Source organism: Homo sapiens, chromosome 1 (assembly GCF_000001405.40).
Source record: "Homo sapiens chromosome 1, GRCh38.p14 Primary Assembly".
Taxonomy (NCBI): domain Eukaryota; kingdom Metazoa; phylum Chordata; class Mammalia; order Primates; family Hominidae; genus Homo; species Homo sapiens.
Genome location: NC_000001.11, coordinates 208,638,785 through 208,654,404, shown reverse-complemented (window position 1 = coordinate 208,654,404; position 15,620 = coordinate 208,638,785). Strand labels below are relative to the sequence as shown.

The window sequence follows — 15,620 nt, the reverse complement described above, 5'->3', positions numbered from 1 at the left end:
TTTGTAAATTGACTCCTCCTGAACCTTCCTTTCCAGAGAAATGGAAGGTTTCCCCTCTTCACTCTGTGGAGTTAGGGACCTGGGAAAACATCTTTTCCTATCCTCTTCTTTTGAGGGAAAACAATTATTAATGCATCACAAAAGAAAAGTATATATTCTCACCTCAGATATGTTATCAAAGGAAATGATAAGTTGTTTTCATAGTGTTGAGCTTTATATATAAGGTAGATTTGGGGACCAGACAAGCTGGTATGAATCCCACTGCTGCCCACGGTAGGTATGAGAATTGGCAGGTTACTTTTATATTCTTAGTTTCAGTTCTTTCCCCCCTAATATGGATGAAAATAATAGTAATGCCTCTCAAGGCAATGTGTAAAACATACCCATGGTAAATATTCATTCATTTATTTATTTAACAAATATTTAGCAAATGCCTTAGATGTCCCAAGCATTATTCTGTTATAGCCTCTTGGATACAGCAATTAACAATGCAGATGACAAATCTCTGTCCTTATTTTGCTTATCAATTAGTGTTAAATAAAGATTAGCCATTATTATTGATATATTATACTAAACCTGAATACTCTAGAACTTTTCATCTAGACTAAGTCTTTTCTTCCCCTGTAATTGATGTCAGTGAGTCATTTGTATTTACTGCACAACTGCAGAGTACAGAGCCCTGGATTGAGTCTATATGGAGGGGGAAGAGGAAGGAGGATAGACTGAAGACGTGGCCTCTGCCTTCAGGAGTTTATAGTGCACACGCAAAGACTAGCAAGGATGAAAGGACTTTTGAATTTAAGAAACATGCATAAATTAAACATACCGCTCTTTTTGGCTTGTCCTCTGAGTAATAAGAACACGAGTGGATTTTCATCACTGTCTGTTGTAATCTTTCCAGAAAAACCACTGAACCATTCTGAAGGCTTCAGGAAGAGAAAACTAATGGCTTTATCTGAACTCCTTGGGAAAGAATGGGGTTTAGTAAGTAAATGGATGCATGTTTCTTAAACTGGCAAGAATCCTCATCAAGTGTCCTGACAAGGCAACAAGCAGATGAATGTCAATGTTATGTATCTGACACATTACCCACACACGTAACTCTGTGATTTTATAGAATTTTAGCCTCTGAAGGAGATTTTAATTATCCTCTTACTCAAATCTTTACCTTTACAGAGAAGGAAATACATGCAGAGGGGAAGAGTGATTTCACCCGAGGTGGTGCGGCTAGCATGTGGACTGCCTGGACCAATGCCTCAGTATCCCCATCGCCAGCACAGTGTTTTTTCTAGAACCTCTTGAAGCCTAAAGCCTCAGTATCCCCATTCTTAGTCCAGAGTTCTTTTTAGAACCTCTTGAAGCCTCCTTCTGTCTGACTTGGAGTGAAAACCCTTAGAGCTCAATGGCCTTTTTAACCAAATTGCTTGCTCTGAGCTCAGGCTAGTGGCATGTTGTGAGGGAATCTGAGTAGGAGCTTGTTGATAAACAGGTCCTGGCAGTGAGATTAGACACATTTCTAGTTATGGAAAAAGAAAGGGGGCTTTGCAGGTGCTTTTCCTCATACTGTTCTCTTCTCAAGGAGTTCAGATAAAGCTGCGAGTTTTCTTCTCCCAGACCCCTCAAAATGGTTCCACAGTTTTTTTCTGGACAGACTTGAATTAACAGTCTAATCTCACTAGTACTGAGAGAGAGCTGAGAACAAGCAAGAAAGGGTGGTGTGTTGAATGCATCCATGTTTCTTAAATTCAAGAGTCCTTTTGATCCTTGCAAAAGACCTCTGTCACTGTGGAGGAGACAGTACTCCAAGTTCCCCCAGTCTTGACTAAACCCCGTCTTCAATGCCTTTTGCTTCTGAAAGGATCTAGATTCGCTTGGGAAAGGGGGAGAGATTTTAAAAGGAGGTGACACCTAGTGGTCACTGTGACAAACAGCAGCCTACAGCGAAGAAGGCCGGTTGCTAAGGGTAGCAGCTGCAGCCATTTGTCTCCACTCTGACTAAATGGCCGGAAGAATCATAGAATGTTTATATTGGGAGCAACCTCCAGAGATTTTCTGTCAAGACATCTGCCTCCAGCCAGCACGAATAATATGTCTTATGCTTATGGTGTTGTATAAAACACTTTTACAAATATTATCACGTTTAATTCTCACATCGGCCCTGTGAATTTTGTAACATCATTATCTCTTTTTTAAAGACGAGATGATCAGTCATAATTTAGGCTTCTTGAGCAAAATCACTCAGCTAGTGAGCCATGAAGTAGGAGCTAGGAGTCAGGCCCTCAGCCCTTACCTTCCCACTTGCGATCAACTGTTTACTGACTCTAGGAAAAGACATGGAAGTGTTGAGTGAAACCCCGTCTCTACTAAAAAAATAATAATAAAAAAATAGCCGGGCGTGGTGGCGGGCGCCTGTAGTTCCAGCTACTCGGGAGGCTGAGGCGGGAGAATGGCGTGGACCCGGGAGGCGGAGCTTGCAGTGAGCCGAGATGGCGCCACTGCACTCCAGTCTGGGCGACAGAAAGAGACTCCATCTCAAAAAAAAAAAGAAAAAAAAGAAAAAAGAGACTGGTTTTTCACCAGGCTCAAACCCCAGCCCTTGCACAAAAATTGGCTTAGTGTTTGGAGCCAATTTTACATAAGTATTTTTGAGTCAGGAGAGAGTTTCTTCCACCTGCAAATTCATCTCTAAATTCCCTCTCCGTACATGAGAATAACAAATCTTCTCGGTGGGAAGAAAAGAAGTCGGCTTGATATGGACTGGCTGCAGAGAGGAGGGGGTTGCTGGGTCCCTGTGGCAGTGAACGATGGGGCCATCCAGGAATACGGAAGAGGCTGCTGGTTGTGTCAGAAGAGTCCTTGTAAGAGGAAATTAAGCCGGATATAACCTGATATGAAATCGCTGGGTACATCTCAGGTTCCTGGCTTAAATATTCAATAGTCTTCAGGGAGAAAATGAATTAATGAATAGGGTCATCTGACAGTAGAATTTTTTAAAAAGTGTTTGAAAAGTAAAAACGCGTTCTACCCCATCCACTCCCTCAGCCACACCCTCTCTACAGAGGCTCCAATTTCTCACAGAATTTCTCAGGTATTGCCTCACCTACTCCTACCCTAGCCCAAGCTGCCTGTCATCCCTCCCTGCTACATCTCTTGGTACTTGGACGTTCAAGTACAGCAGCCTTTAGCCGCTTACACAATCACAGGACATCCTCTGAAAGAGAAGCAATCTTCTGTGGTTTGGTTGTTTTAGAAAGAAGGCATTGTTGATGGAGGTCTTGACTTGTGGGCTGACATAGCAAGCGAAGGATGGGTTTGCTTTTTCTGGATGTTACTTGTTTAAAAAATATATTTATAAGAGAAAGCCCTCTCTATTTTCCTAAGGGATAGGGCTGGACAGGAAGTTTTCAGAGATTCAAGCCAGATGGGGGTGCAAACCTCTCAGGACCAACACAGCATCTTTCCTGAGCTCTCTACTGTGGATGTGCTGAGGTCCTCCACATGAAAGTTAGGAAGGGATATTTCTCCTTTCAGCAAGAGGCTGCTAGTTGTGCCAGATGAGTCCTTAGGAGGAAATCAAGCCAGATGTAACCTCCACAAGGTATTTTCTCTTATCATTCCCTAACAAGAAAAAAGAAATCCAAGAGACAGAACTAGACTGTATGGTAGTTTCTGTCAGTATTGAGGTTATGAGGTACACCAACTACAACATGCAGTATATTCTCAACCTCATTTTCCTATGCCCCAGCCTGCTTATAACACCATGGGGCAGGCAGACAACCACTATGATGCCCAACCCTAACCCAGAGCCTATGTGCAAAGGTTCACGTAGGATGCCTGGTGCCTTTTTCATAGGGGAATTTCAATCAATTCCCTGCACTCCTCAATTCCCAGTTACTTCCTTTTCTTCTTAGAATTCAGGAAGTATAAGTCTCCACTGGCACAAGTCTCCACTGTCTAATTAGACTGACTGATGTGAGAGATCGAATGGGTTAATGGAAGGCCAACATATATCTTAACACCTTTATTTGTGCTGGCCTTACCTGTTCATTAGTCTTAAGTACCCTAGAGTAATTACAGAGTCCCCTCGTCTGCCAGGTCTCTCTATTGCACGTAGGCAAGAGGTGTTCAGAGCTGGTTCACAGACAGTGATGTTGGTAGGCTGACTAGTCCCTTAGATTTTGAGACTCCCAGCTCAGGTGTCTGATGCTTTACTAATAATAACATCAAGGGAACCTCCAAGGGTACTGACAATAATAATAATGTCACATACTCATTCAACTGAAGACTTTTTAAAAGAATTTACCCAGACAACATTCTAGGTACTTGGGATTCATCAGTGAACAAAAAGGTTAACATTTCTGCACACGTGCAGCTTTCATCATAGCTCACAAAAGCTTTTGCCTAAACTTACCTTATTGAAGCCTTGCAAGAATCCTAAGAGTGCTGAGGTCTCAACTTTCTGTTTTTTACAGAAGGATAAACTTATTTATCCTGCTCCTCATATCATAAAGCACTCCTCCTAATCTCCAGGTCAAACTTCTGACCAACCCAATCATAATGTTGTTCTTGATTTTCTCTACCAACTATTTATGTCTACACATTGATTTTATTTCTACTGTTGGCAGCTTGGTGTCATAGAAAGAAAAAAGAATCCAGAATGAACCTGAGCTCAAATTCATTCTCCACCACTCACTAGATAGTAAACTTTAGTCAAGTCTCTTTATTCCAATTTTCTCATAAGTAAAATGTTATAATAAGGGTAAAATAAGAACTCTGTGAGACCACACTTAGGGAGATGCTGTGTTATTGGTTTCATGCTTTACACAGATGTGACATAGAGATCCCATGAGCTTAGCAGCAAAAGCTACCCAGTGGAATTCTTTCTGGGGTACAAACATGTAAGAATAATACTTTCTAAGCTCAGTTATTGAATAAAGTATTGTATCAGTCTGTTCTCATGCTGCTGGTAAAAACATACCTGAGACTGGGTAATTTATTTAAAAAAAAAAAAAAGAGGCTTAATGGACTAACAGTTCCACATAACTGGGGAGGCCTCACAATCATGGTGGAAGGTGAAAGGCATGTCTTACATGGCAGAAGATGAGAGGGAATGAGAGCCAAGGGAAAGGGGAAACCTCTTATAAAACCATCAGATCTTCTCAGACTTATTCACTACCACAAGAACAATACTGGGAAAACTGCCCCTACAATTCAATTATCTCCCACGATTCAATTATCTCCCACTTGGTCCCTCCCACAACATGTGGGAAATTTGGGAGCTACAATTCAAGAAGAGATTTGGGTGGGGACACAGTGAAACCATATCAAGTATGTTTTCTCCTCTGACTGGAGAGAAGATGGGAATGGAAGCCAATTCTCTAGTAGACAAGTGAAAATAGAAAGGTCCATTTGATAAATAGGAACAGCTATTCCTTTTCACAGTAGGGAAAGTCTTAGTAGGGAAAAAAAAAAGTTCAGTGTCAGAGAAGTGATATCAGAATTTCCCTATAGCCCCAAGAAGCCCACATCTGGGAGGGAATTTGCATGGCCATTTAATTCATTACTTCTCCTCAAGGTAAGATTACCATGTGGATATTGGATGGTGCCTGGGAAGTCACACCTGTGATAATTGGCATCGCTGTTGCATTCTTCAGAGCAAAAGGCAAAGAACATACTAGAAGCTTGGGTTTGATTTCTCCATTTCTTCAGTCAATGCTCTAGAATAAATGAAGATCAAATATGACAGATAATAGGCAACCTGCTCTTGGGAAGGATATATCTAATCCAGACCCTGGGGTTCCCTCATTGCAGAAATATCCCGAGCTTGGGATTCCTTCTCAAGGAAGCCTGTTACACACAACCAACGTCTGCCTTCCCACAAAGCTGTGCCTGTCAAGGCAGAAGGGTAGAGTGCAGACATCTCTTCCATAGAAGAGAGAAAAATGATACGAGAGCAGCTTGGATGGGAACAATATTTCAGGCATGGCTAGCTGTTAAAAATGAGCTAACTCAGAAGAGGCACATTTAAATAAATATAATGCAAAGGCATAATGGCACAAGATAACAGTTTTGAATGGGAAATTCTAATGACTTCAAGTGCATTTCACAGGGCAATTAATACACATGGCAATGCTGCAGCATTCAGCAAAAGGGAGGGAGAAACAGGGTCGGGAGCAAAAAAAAGGGGAGATGGAGGCAACTGATAAAAATAGGACTTGATTTTCTTTGCAGAAGGAGTAGTGCTTACAAATATAATAAAAGAGAAAAATATGTGTGTCAGGTTTTATAATTCAGCTTGTAAAATTCAGAATGATTAGTTTTTGAAGAGGGCAATTACTCCTCTTTTGCATATTCATGAAGATTTAATGAAATAGGGTTGGGCTTTTTCCATTCTTCTCTGGTTACCCCCTTCAGTCCCCTTCCCCCACCACAAACTAAAAATATATCTGATTCCCATCAAACTGAAGCCTCATTCCATTCAATTCATGGAGGAGCTGCTGATTGGTAGGTACAAATGCCTAGGATTCTCTAAGAAATTACATATCTTTATTGACATTGCCTATAAGTTAACAGATGAGATGTGTGAATCTTCAGGGGCCGAGGAAGAGGTTTCTGATGACAGCAAAGAGGAAAATTACACAGGGCAAGAGGCTGGCTCCCTGGGACAGATGGAGGATATCTTATTTGCCTGTTTCTTCTTTTTATTGTTGCTAGGGTGTGTGTGTGTGTGTGTGTGTGTGTGTGTGTGTGTGTGTGTGTGTGTGTGTGTGTGTTGTGTAGGAAGAGGGAGAGAGAGAAAAGAAAGAAAAAAGAAAGAAGGAAAGAAAAAGAAAGAACCAAGAAAGGAAGGCTGTCAGGCAGGTAGACCAAGTGAAGAAAGAAAAGAAAAGAAAGAAAAGAAAGAAAAGAAAGAAAGAAAGAAAGAAAGAAAGAAAGAAAGAAAGAAAGAAAGAAAGAAAGAAAGAAAGAAAGAAAGAAAGGAAAGAAAGGAGAGAGAGAGAAGGAAGAAAGAAAGAAGAAAGAAAAAGAAAGAAAGGAAGAAAGAGAAGGAGGGGGAAGGAGGGAGGGAGGGAAGGGGGAAGAAAGGAAGGAAAGAAGGAAGGAAGGAAAGAAAGGAAGGAAAGAAGGAAGGAAAGAAAGGAAGGAAAGAAGGAAGGAAGGAAAAGAAAGGAGGGAGGGAGAGAGGGAGGGGGAAGGGGAAGGGAGAGGGGAGGGAGGGAAGGAAAAAAGGGAAGAGAGAAAGAAAGAGAGAAAGAAAGAGAAAAGAAAGAAGGAAAGAAATAAAGAGAAAGAAAGAAAAAAGGAAAGAAAGACGCAGGTTCGGTGCATTGGCTCACACCTGTAATCCTAGCATTTTGGGAGGCCGAGGTAGGTGGGTCACATGAGGCCAGGAGTTTGAGATCAGCCTGGCCAACATGGTGAAAACCCACCTCTACTAAAAATACAAAAATTAGCCAGGTGTGGTGGCATGCACCTGTAATCCCAGCTACTTGGGACGCTGAGGCACAAGAGTTACTTGAACCTGGGAGGCAGAGGTTGCAGTGAGCTGAGATCATGCCAGTGCACTCCAGCCTCGGACTCTGTCAAAAAAAAAAAAAAGAAGAAAGAAAGAGAAGGAAAGAAGAAAGAGAGAAACAAAGAAGGAAAGAAAGAAAGAGAGAGAATGAGAGAGAAAGAAGAAAAGGAAGGAAGGAAGAGAGGATGGGAGGGGAGGGGAGAGAAAGAAAGAAAGAAAAGAAAGAAGAGAGAAAGAAAGAAAAGAAAGAAAGGAAAAAAGAGAAAGAGAAAGAAAAGAAAGGAAGAAAGGAAGAAAGAAAGAAAAAGAAAGAAAGAAAGAAAAGAAAGAAAAAGAAAGAAAGAGAAAAGAAAAAGAAAGAGAAAGAAAGAAAGACAGAAAGACAGGAAGGAGGGCAGGGAGGGAGGGAGGGACTGGAGAGAGGAATAATGGAGGGAGGAAGGCGGGGAAAAGAAAGAAAGTAAAGAAAGAGTCTGAAGAATCCTGTGCTGTCCAGTTTCATGGGGGCCTGGAGGATAATTTTTAAGGTAGCCAACAAGTATAGAGATTTTTTTCTCTTTTTGTTTATATGCTTTGCAAGTGTTGCCTAGAGCAAAGAAAACTACAAACCAATGAACAAACAGCTCCAAAACCCATGCACAGTCAAAATCCACCTCAGCACAAAAGGGAGAGACCCTGATGCCCTATCTAGTTTGTTACCATCTTCTTGGTGCACTGATTTCGGTTGTGTTTTGTTTTTGTTTTTGTGGTGTGTGTGTGTGTGTGTGTTTGAGTACTCAACTTATTTTCCTAAACTTTTGTTCTAAGAATCTCTTTGGTCAGCTCCCAAAGCCCTAGATCTAGGTTTCTCCTCATGCCCAGATCCTGTTAAAGTTTTCAGTTTTTCCTGACACTGCATTGACTATTAACACCAGTCTTCCCCCTTTATGAGGACAAGTCTATTTAATTCTGGGGTTCAATCTTGGAAAGCCTAAGTCACACTTTCCAATAAATATATTAACAAATAATAAAGCTGGCATTGTGGTCTCCATTTACATGCCTCTAATCTGTCCTTGAATTGCTTTAAAATCAGGTGAAAACAAAGAAGTATTACCTATAAGACCCCTTCAAATGTCAATGCTAATCTTTACCGAAATCGCCTTTTGATCCAATCATGGTGCTAGACTTTCATATTTGCTAAATTCATCTTGGAATAGTTCATCTAGTGACTATGGGGAAAAAAAAAGTGCTCACCTTGTCATTAAATTACCTGTGGATATTTAAAACACTCATGGGGGTGACCCAGGATCTGAACCTGGAATTTTCAAATCCTGAGATTGGGGTGTAGGCAATTGGGTATGGGCCCCGATATTGCAATTATATTTTGTGTGAATACGAATATATTTATTTTTCTAGGAAAGGTCCATAGCTTGAATTAGATATTCAAAAGGTTTCTGATCCCCTAAAAGTAAACCCTTAGATTCGAGAGTCATAGTGACTGGCATCAGTTGGAAATAAAAACTTTTTTGCCATACATTCAATGTCTGACAGTCACAGCTAGAATGGGAAATTTACTTAAATTTAGGAAGAACAAATTAGCTGTAAATTACTGTTGAGAGTTTTTTACATCTTAAGGGGCAAAAGATAGGGAGGGTCACTTCCTAGTTCTTGGAACCCTGCTCTGTCCTCTCCTCTCTGGATTTCCTGCCCATTGCCCATGACTCTGCTGTTTTCCTCTCAACATGAATACACACCTGCCCTGAAATGAAGCATCATTTCCCTTCTCTTGACTTTTTGGAGATCCATTAAGCAAACCCCTGCAGAGAACTTGCATTCTCCAAAGATGGCCCCCATGCTGTCCTTGAGAGGAAACTAGACTTCATAGTGCCTAGCTGTTTAATTCATAAATAAATATTGCATGTGCTACCAGATGGTTCATTAGCCAGTTGTTATGGCAATCAGCATTTCAGCCAATTAAAAACCTTTCCCAAGACTTTAAAATATGTTGATTGTAGAAACATGAAGTGCCTGAAGACCATGTAATACACGTGAACGCAAGAGGCATCCCTGCTTTGGGATAAGAGAGAGCTGCTGGGGGAGGGAGCTGCTGGGGGAGGGAGCTGCTGGGGGAGGGAGCTGCTGGGGGAGGGAGTGGGGAAAAGAGGCAGGAGTGAGTCAATGATATTCAGACACCAGAATGAAAAAAAAAAGATGTTACAGGAGGAAGACATTTTCATGAATATCTACCCTGTATGTAAAGGACTCTTCCTTTACAGTCAGAAACCAAAGGGGCTATTTGGCCCATTTTTTAATAGATTCCTTGAGGGCAGTGATTGTACCTTGTTGACTTTAGTGTTTCATTGCCTTGCATACAGCCTGGCAAATAGTAAGTGACAATTTAGAGTAATAAAAAATAGTTTAACCAGTATTATCATAATTTATATGTCATAATAAATAGTAGAAAAAATAAAGAACTCTTCTTCTGTTATGCAAACCAAGGGTAAATCCTATTACTGGTTTAAACAGAAGCCAAATGAAGGAGATTGCTGCTATGGTTCTGGGAAATCTGGCTGGGGCAGGAGACCCTGGGCGATTCTGCTGCATCTGTGACTCGGAGAGAGTGGCCAGGAACAAACATCTGACTGCGAGTACAGGAAAGAGCCCTGCATTAGACTTCTGGCATGTGCTGTCCAGTCAGTTTCAATGATCTATGCAAACGTGGGCATTCTGTCTCCCCAGCTGAATGTAATACTTTCTAGGGCTGCTACTCAAGGGCTACCCTCAATGGGACTGGGGCTGGGGCTGGCCTGGTTGGGCTCTAGCCAAAAGCAGAAGTCAGAGACTGGCTTTGGAACAGTAAAATCTAAACCAAAGCATTTCTACCCAAGGGCAAGAAAATGATGAGGGCCAGAGATGTGAGTCAAGACAAAGCCTGCAGGAAATTACTTGGATCCCCAAAAAGGGTGTGAAGATGGCAATGCGGGCCTGTTAGCAGAGACAAGTATTCTGAATTAATGGAGATAGATGAGCAAGAATACACTCTGAGATAGAAAAGGAGATAGGCCCTGTGTTCCACTCATCTCTGTGTCCCTATCATCTTGGACACTGCCTGTCTCATAGCAAGTGCTCAGCAAGAGTTGAGTAAATGGACAGTCATTCCCTTCACCATCTCAGCGTGTGCTAAACTATATCACGTATGGGTGACTGAGAGAATGGAAGCTCTGAATTCTATTTTGGGATGCTTCATTTCCTCCTCGGAGAACCCTTTTTGAAATATGCTAACCAGAACCAAGATTTCCCTTTATTTTTACTCTCTAATCAAAGGAATTTCCCAGGGAGGTGGAATCCCTCAATACCAGGAATCCAGTGCTTGTCAGGGATCCAGTCCAGGGGACAGTGGAGGGTCTGGGATTCCCACCTCACTGGCTGCCAAGAGGTCTGGCTGTGCTCCCAGCAATTCCTGAGCCCCTCCTATCCTCCCCCATCTCTCCTCAGAGCTGACTGGACCCCTCCACACAGAAATCTGCTGCCTGTGAAATTGTAAAGTGAAGGGAAAGGAAGTGCAAAAAATAACTTCCCTAGACAATCAGAGCAGATTATTTTAATGAGGGCTTGGAAATGGGAAACAAATGACACCAAATTAGCCTCACTCCCATTCATCAACTATGTTGGTGCAAGCGCTAAGCCTTCGCCTGAGTCAGCAGTGAAGCTGAGGTGGCTGCCTCTAGTTTCAGGGAGCTCCTCGCAGGAGCCCGACACATCTTTCACAGAGCTCAGTAGTCTCCATTCAATTGTTTCAAGGCTGCTGGGGCTCAGCGCTGCTAACCCTTGTCTGCTTTAAATTTCCTCTGGATAGAAGTACGGAGCGCTGAAGGAAAAGAGGGTCCCAGAGCCCACCTGTGGCTCAGGGAAAGGTAAATGACAGAACCAAGCTACTCCTATTTCCCAGAGCCCACCTGTGGCTCAGGGAAAGGTAAATGACAGAATCAAGCTACTCACATTTCCCAGACTCTGTCCCTAGACCAGGGAACTTAATTGTGGGTGAACCACGTTACAACATAGAACATAAGCAGTTTGTCTGTATTTTCCTCTGAGGCACACACCTCTCCTTCATACCGACCAGTTTTGTCTCCTGGCCAGCCCTGGTTATTGTCAATGAGAGGTCATCGGCTAGGCTGAGGTGGACTGTTGTGCCACAATTCACAATGTAGACTTATAGTAATAATAATGTTTCCACGTGCAGCTGGAGAGGAGAAGCTGAGCTCCTCTGAAACTGGGCCTCCTTGGGTCAGAGTGGTGAACAGAAAAAGACTACAATAATTACATTAAGCAAAATGAAATTGTTTCCCCACTGGAAGGAAGGAAAGTCATTAACTCAGAGGGTCCAGTTATCAGGGAAAATGATATCACATCTGCAGTGTGTTTTGGATTGCAATTTAACAGGAGAAATTGGAAGAGAATTTGATGTGGGGTGAAAGGTGTTGGATTGACAGCTCAGGGAATTGGAATATGCTGTTCTCAGTCCACCTCTTGTTCTCTATCTCTTGGTCTCTGGGTCTCGTCTTACCTACTCTGACATTCATTTCTCCCTCTTCACAAGAGACAGTTTGGGACAGATACTGATGCAAATTCAATCCTTTTCTATTTCTAAAGCCTTGGAGGTTCTTGGTTTTCAAATTCATACCAATAATCTAGTTTGGCTTTTAGCTTGCCGGGAAGTCCCAGGGTTTCCTGAACTACTGGGTGCCTGTTTCTGCTACTTTTAGGGTTATGTCAGAATAGTTTGGCTAGAAGAGGGGTGAGGTTAGCACAGGAAACAAGGAAGTGTTCATGACAGAGGAAAATAACTTTCGGTTAATCATTCAGTCAGAAATTTTTTGCTGAGCACTTACCATGTGCAGAACACTGGGTTTCATGTCATGGAGGACATAAATATGACCTAAACATCCTCTCAGGAAACTTAAAACCTAGATGAGCAGATAGAATGCACACATAGAGCAATCCACAAATGCCAGGCAGACACTCGTCACAATCACTGAAGAAACTGTCCTCTTTTTGCTATCTTTTCACATCCTCAGCCCAATCCTAGTCCTTCTATATCCATCCAGGGAATGAGTCATCAGTAAGATTAATCCATTTTCACCATATGTTTAGAGTTATAAGAACTTACTGTGGAGAGGTCTACTAATCTAAAGATCTACCAATCACACCCCTTTAGAATAACTGTTATCCAGTTTGACAGATAAATTGGAACTGAGTTTATTGACTTAGTACCACATTCTCAGTCTTTCGTGGCCCAGGGAGTTTTGTTACATGGCTCCTGAGAAGGGCACTTTTTTTTCTAGCTCTACCACACTGCTTTAGCTATGTAATAGGCTAACCTGCTCTAACCTTAAATACATGAGATTAAATAAGGCAGAAACTTAGTGGGAGGCACAGGGTGGACAGGCAGCTCTGCTCCACAGAGTCACACGGGGACCAAGGCTTGTTGCTCCAGTGTTTCCATCGTCAACATGAGGCTTCTATGTTAGGGTCAAGGTGGCTACTCCAGATGTCACCACACTCAGTAGTGGAACAGAAAGAAGGAAAGGCAGAGTAGAGGGAAACTTGTTACATTGTAAAGATTCAGGTGATGCATGCTTCACTTCCACTCACATATATTGTCCAAAACTTAGGAACATGGCATATCTAACTGCAAAGCAGACTGGAAAATATGGGGTATCACAAAAATTTGTGTTCTCAAGTAAAGGTTTGAGATTCTATTACTAAAAAGAAGAAAGAAAGAAGGAATACTGGGAAATAATTAGCTCTGTCTTTCATTCCTTTCTCTACCATACTTCCACTAACCAAATCTTCTATCTCTATTACCCTAAGGAATCAATCATATTCTTTTTTCTAATTTTCCATTCTCTTTAGTACTTAACCAAGTAGAATGTCCCCTGACTCCTAATGTGTTTGTCTTTGAACCTTAAAACTGTACGGGAGCCCCCCAAAACCCTCTCTAAGCTTTCATCCTTTAATCAAGTACTTTTTCTTTTCATTTTCTGAGTTTACACTGGGATTTATGGAGTATCCTGTCATGCACTGACACGAAAAGAAACAAAGAAATCTGGTTTCTGCCTTCAAGGGTCTTCTGTCTCTCACTGTCTTAGTTCAGGCTGCTATAACAGAGTGCCATAGACTGGGTGGCTTAAATAACAAACTTTTTTTTCTCATAGTTCTGGAGGTTGGAAGTTCAACACTAGGGTTCCAGTATGGTTGGGTTCTTGTTGAAGTCCTTTTTTCTGGTTTTTACAGATGGCTGTCTTCTTGTATCCTTACATCGTGGAGGGGGGTGCAGCGGGGAGGGAGAGAGAAAGAGAAGAGGAAGCTCTCTAGTGTTTCTTCTTAAAAGGCACTGATATCATTCAGGAGAGCTCAATCCTCACATCCTAATCACCTGGCAGTGGCCCCACCTCCTAACGCCATCACATTGAGGTGTGAGATTTTAACACACTTTTTTTGCGGAGACACATTCAGTCCATAGCACGTGAATACACTTGCTGCCTACTAACTCCTTTGTTCTTACCCAGCCCCTACCTCAGTCTTTACTTAGCTTTTCTTGTTGAATCATTCATTTCCCACAAAACAATCTGCAACTGATCTGGTGTTGACTTTGCACCCTGTTGTGTTTCTACCCAAAGAATCCTTTTCCCATCACACACAATCACCTGATTTACACATTTGCCCAATTATTCATTTATCAAAAATCAAGACCCTGGGCCTACCCTGTGCCAACACTGCTCTGGACACCGAGTCCATGGTGGCAAACTGCATGGCCTCTGTTGTCACAGAGCTTACTACATTAGTGGAGACAGGTGGCCAACAAACAAAGGTATACTTATAATTACAAATTACACAAAGTGCTTTAAAAAAAAAAAGCAAGCTGCCATATGAGAGAATAACAAAGAAGATGAAATTCAGTTTGGAGCCAGTCTAGGACATGACACCAATTCTAGAACTTAAAACAGGAGCAGGGCTATCCAGGCAAAGGAGGGAGAGGAGTCTTTTTGGCAGAGCCCCACCTATGGGAAGCCCAGAGATAGAAAAGAAGTTGGAGTGTTTTAGGGATTGAAAGAAAGGCAATGTGACAGAGGCACCAAGAGAATAGCAATAAGAGATGAAGATAGGGACTGCAAGGGGAGGGGAGGTGATGGCAGAATATCCAAAGCTTTCTGAAAAGGAAACCTACAGAAGGGTTTTAACATGGGAGGGACATGTTCTGACATATGTTTTAAAGTTCATTTTGCTGTGGGAAGAAAGGATTAGAGGCTGATAAGAATGGAAGCAGAAGGAGAATAATTAGAAAACTATTGTTACGTTCCCAAGGAATAAAGGTAGTTTGGACCAGGGTGAAGATGTGTGATGGAGAAGATCATAAAGTCTCTCTAGAGCTGGGCTCAGGTAAAATGCACCCTTTGCCTGTTTTTGTGAAGTTTTATTGCTACACGACCACTCTTGTTCATGTCCATATTGTCTATGGCCACTTTCTCTCTGGAATGGGAGAGATAAGTACTTACCACAGGGTAAGTATTTTAAACTTTTCTTTGATATACAATGGAAATCTCTCTTTTGATCAGCTTAAGGCCAAGTAAGGAGGACTTAAGAAGGACCACGGAAAAATTGAATGAATGGGGAATAAAGCAAAGCTGAATTGCTACTGGAGTTAAAAGGAGTTACTGATGGTGGAAAGAAGTCAGGCCCGCTGGTGTTTTACCATAACAAATATCTGAAGTAATCTCCATACCTTCAGATCTCCTTGTGGCTGCAATAGCTCTTCATATGGAACTAGCCATCTACCAAATTATTTCCTTTCTCAACAAACATCACTCACAGCCCTATTATGACTGGAAGTCTTTTTAATAAAACTGTCTGTGAAGATTGCAAAATAAACCTATGGAGCAGCGTCCTCACTACTTCCATCTGTTTTTCCACAAATTTCTCTCCCTTTTCCACAGAGCAGGTTTGTATTTCCAAGAAGGTGTATCTTCAGGAGTTCTAATAAAGAACAGCTGAATGCAGCAATCTTTGCCATCAATACAGCCAACCTTCAAGGAATCACTTTTCACAAATGATCTGACGTGGA

The 15,620-nt window shown here is 41.9% G+C and overlaps 1 annotated feature.

Annotated features, from left to right (window-relative positions):
* Nucleotides 1,860–2,046: a silencer, noted in NCBI's record as "fragment chr1:208825704-208825890 (GRCh37/hg19 assembly coordinates)". NCBI's record gives its function as "represses an EF-1alpha promoter that drives an FKBP-Casp9 reporter gene in an ReSE screen in K562 erythroleukemia cells {active_cell/tissue: K562}" and the evidence as "EXISTENCE:reporter gene assay evidence [ECO:0000049][PMID:32094911]".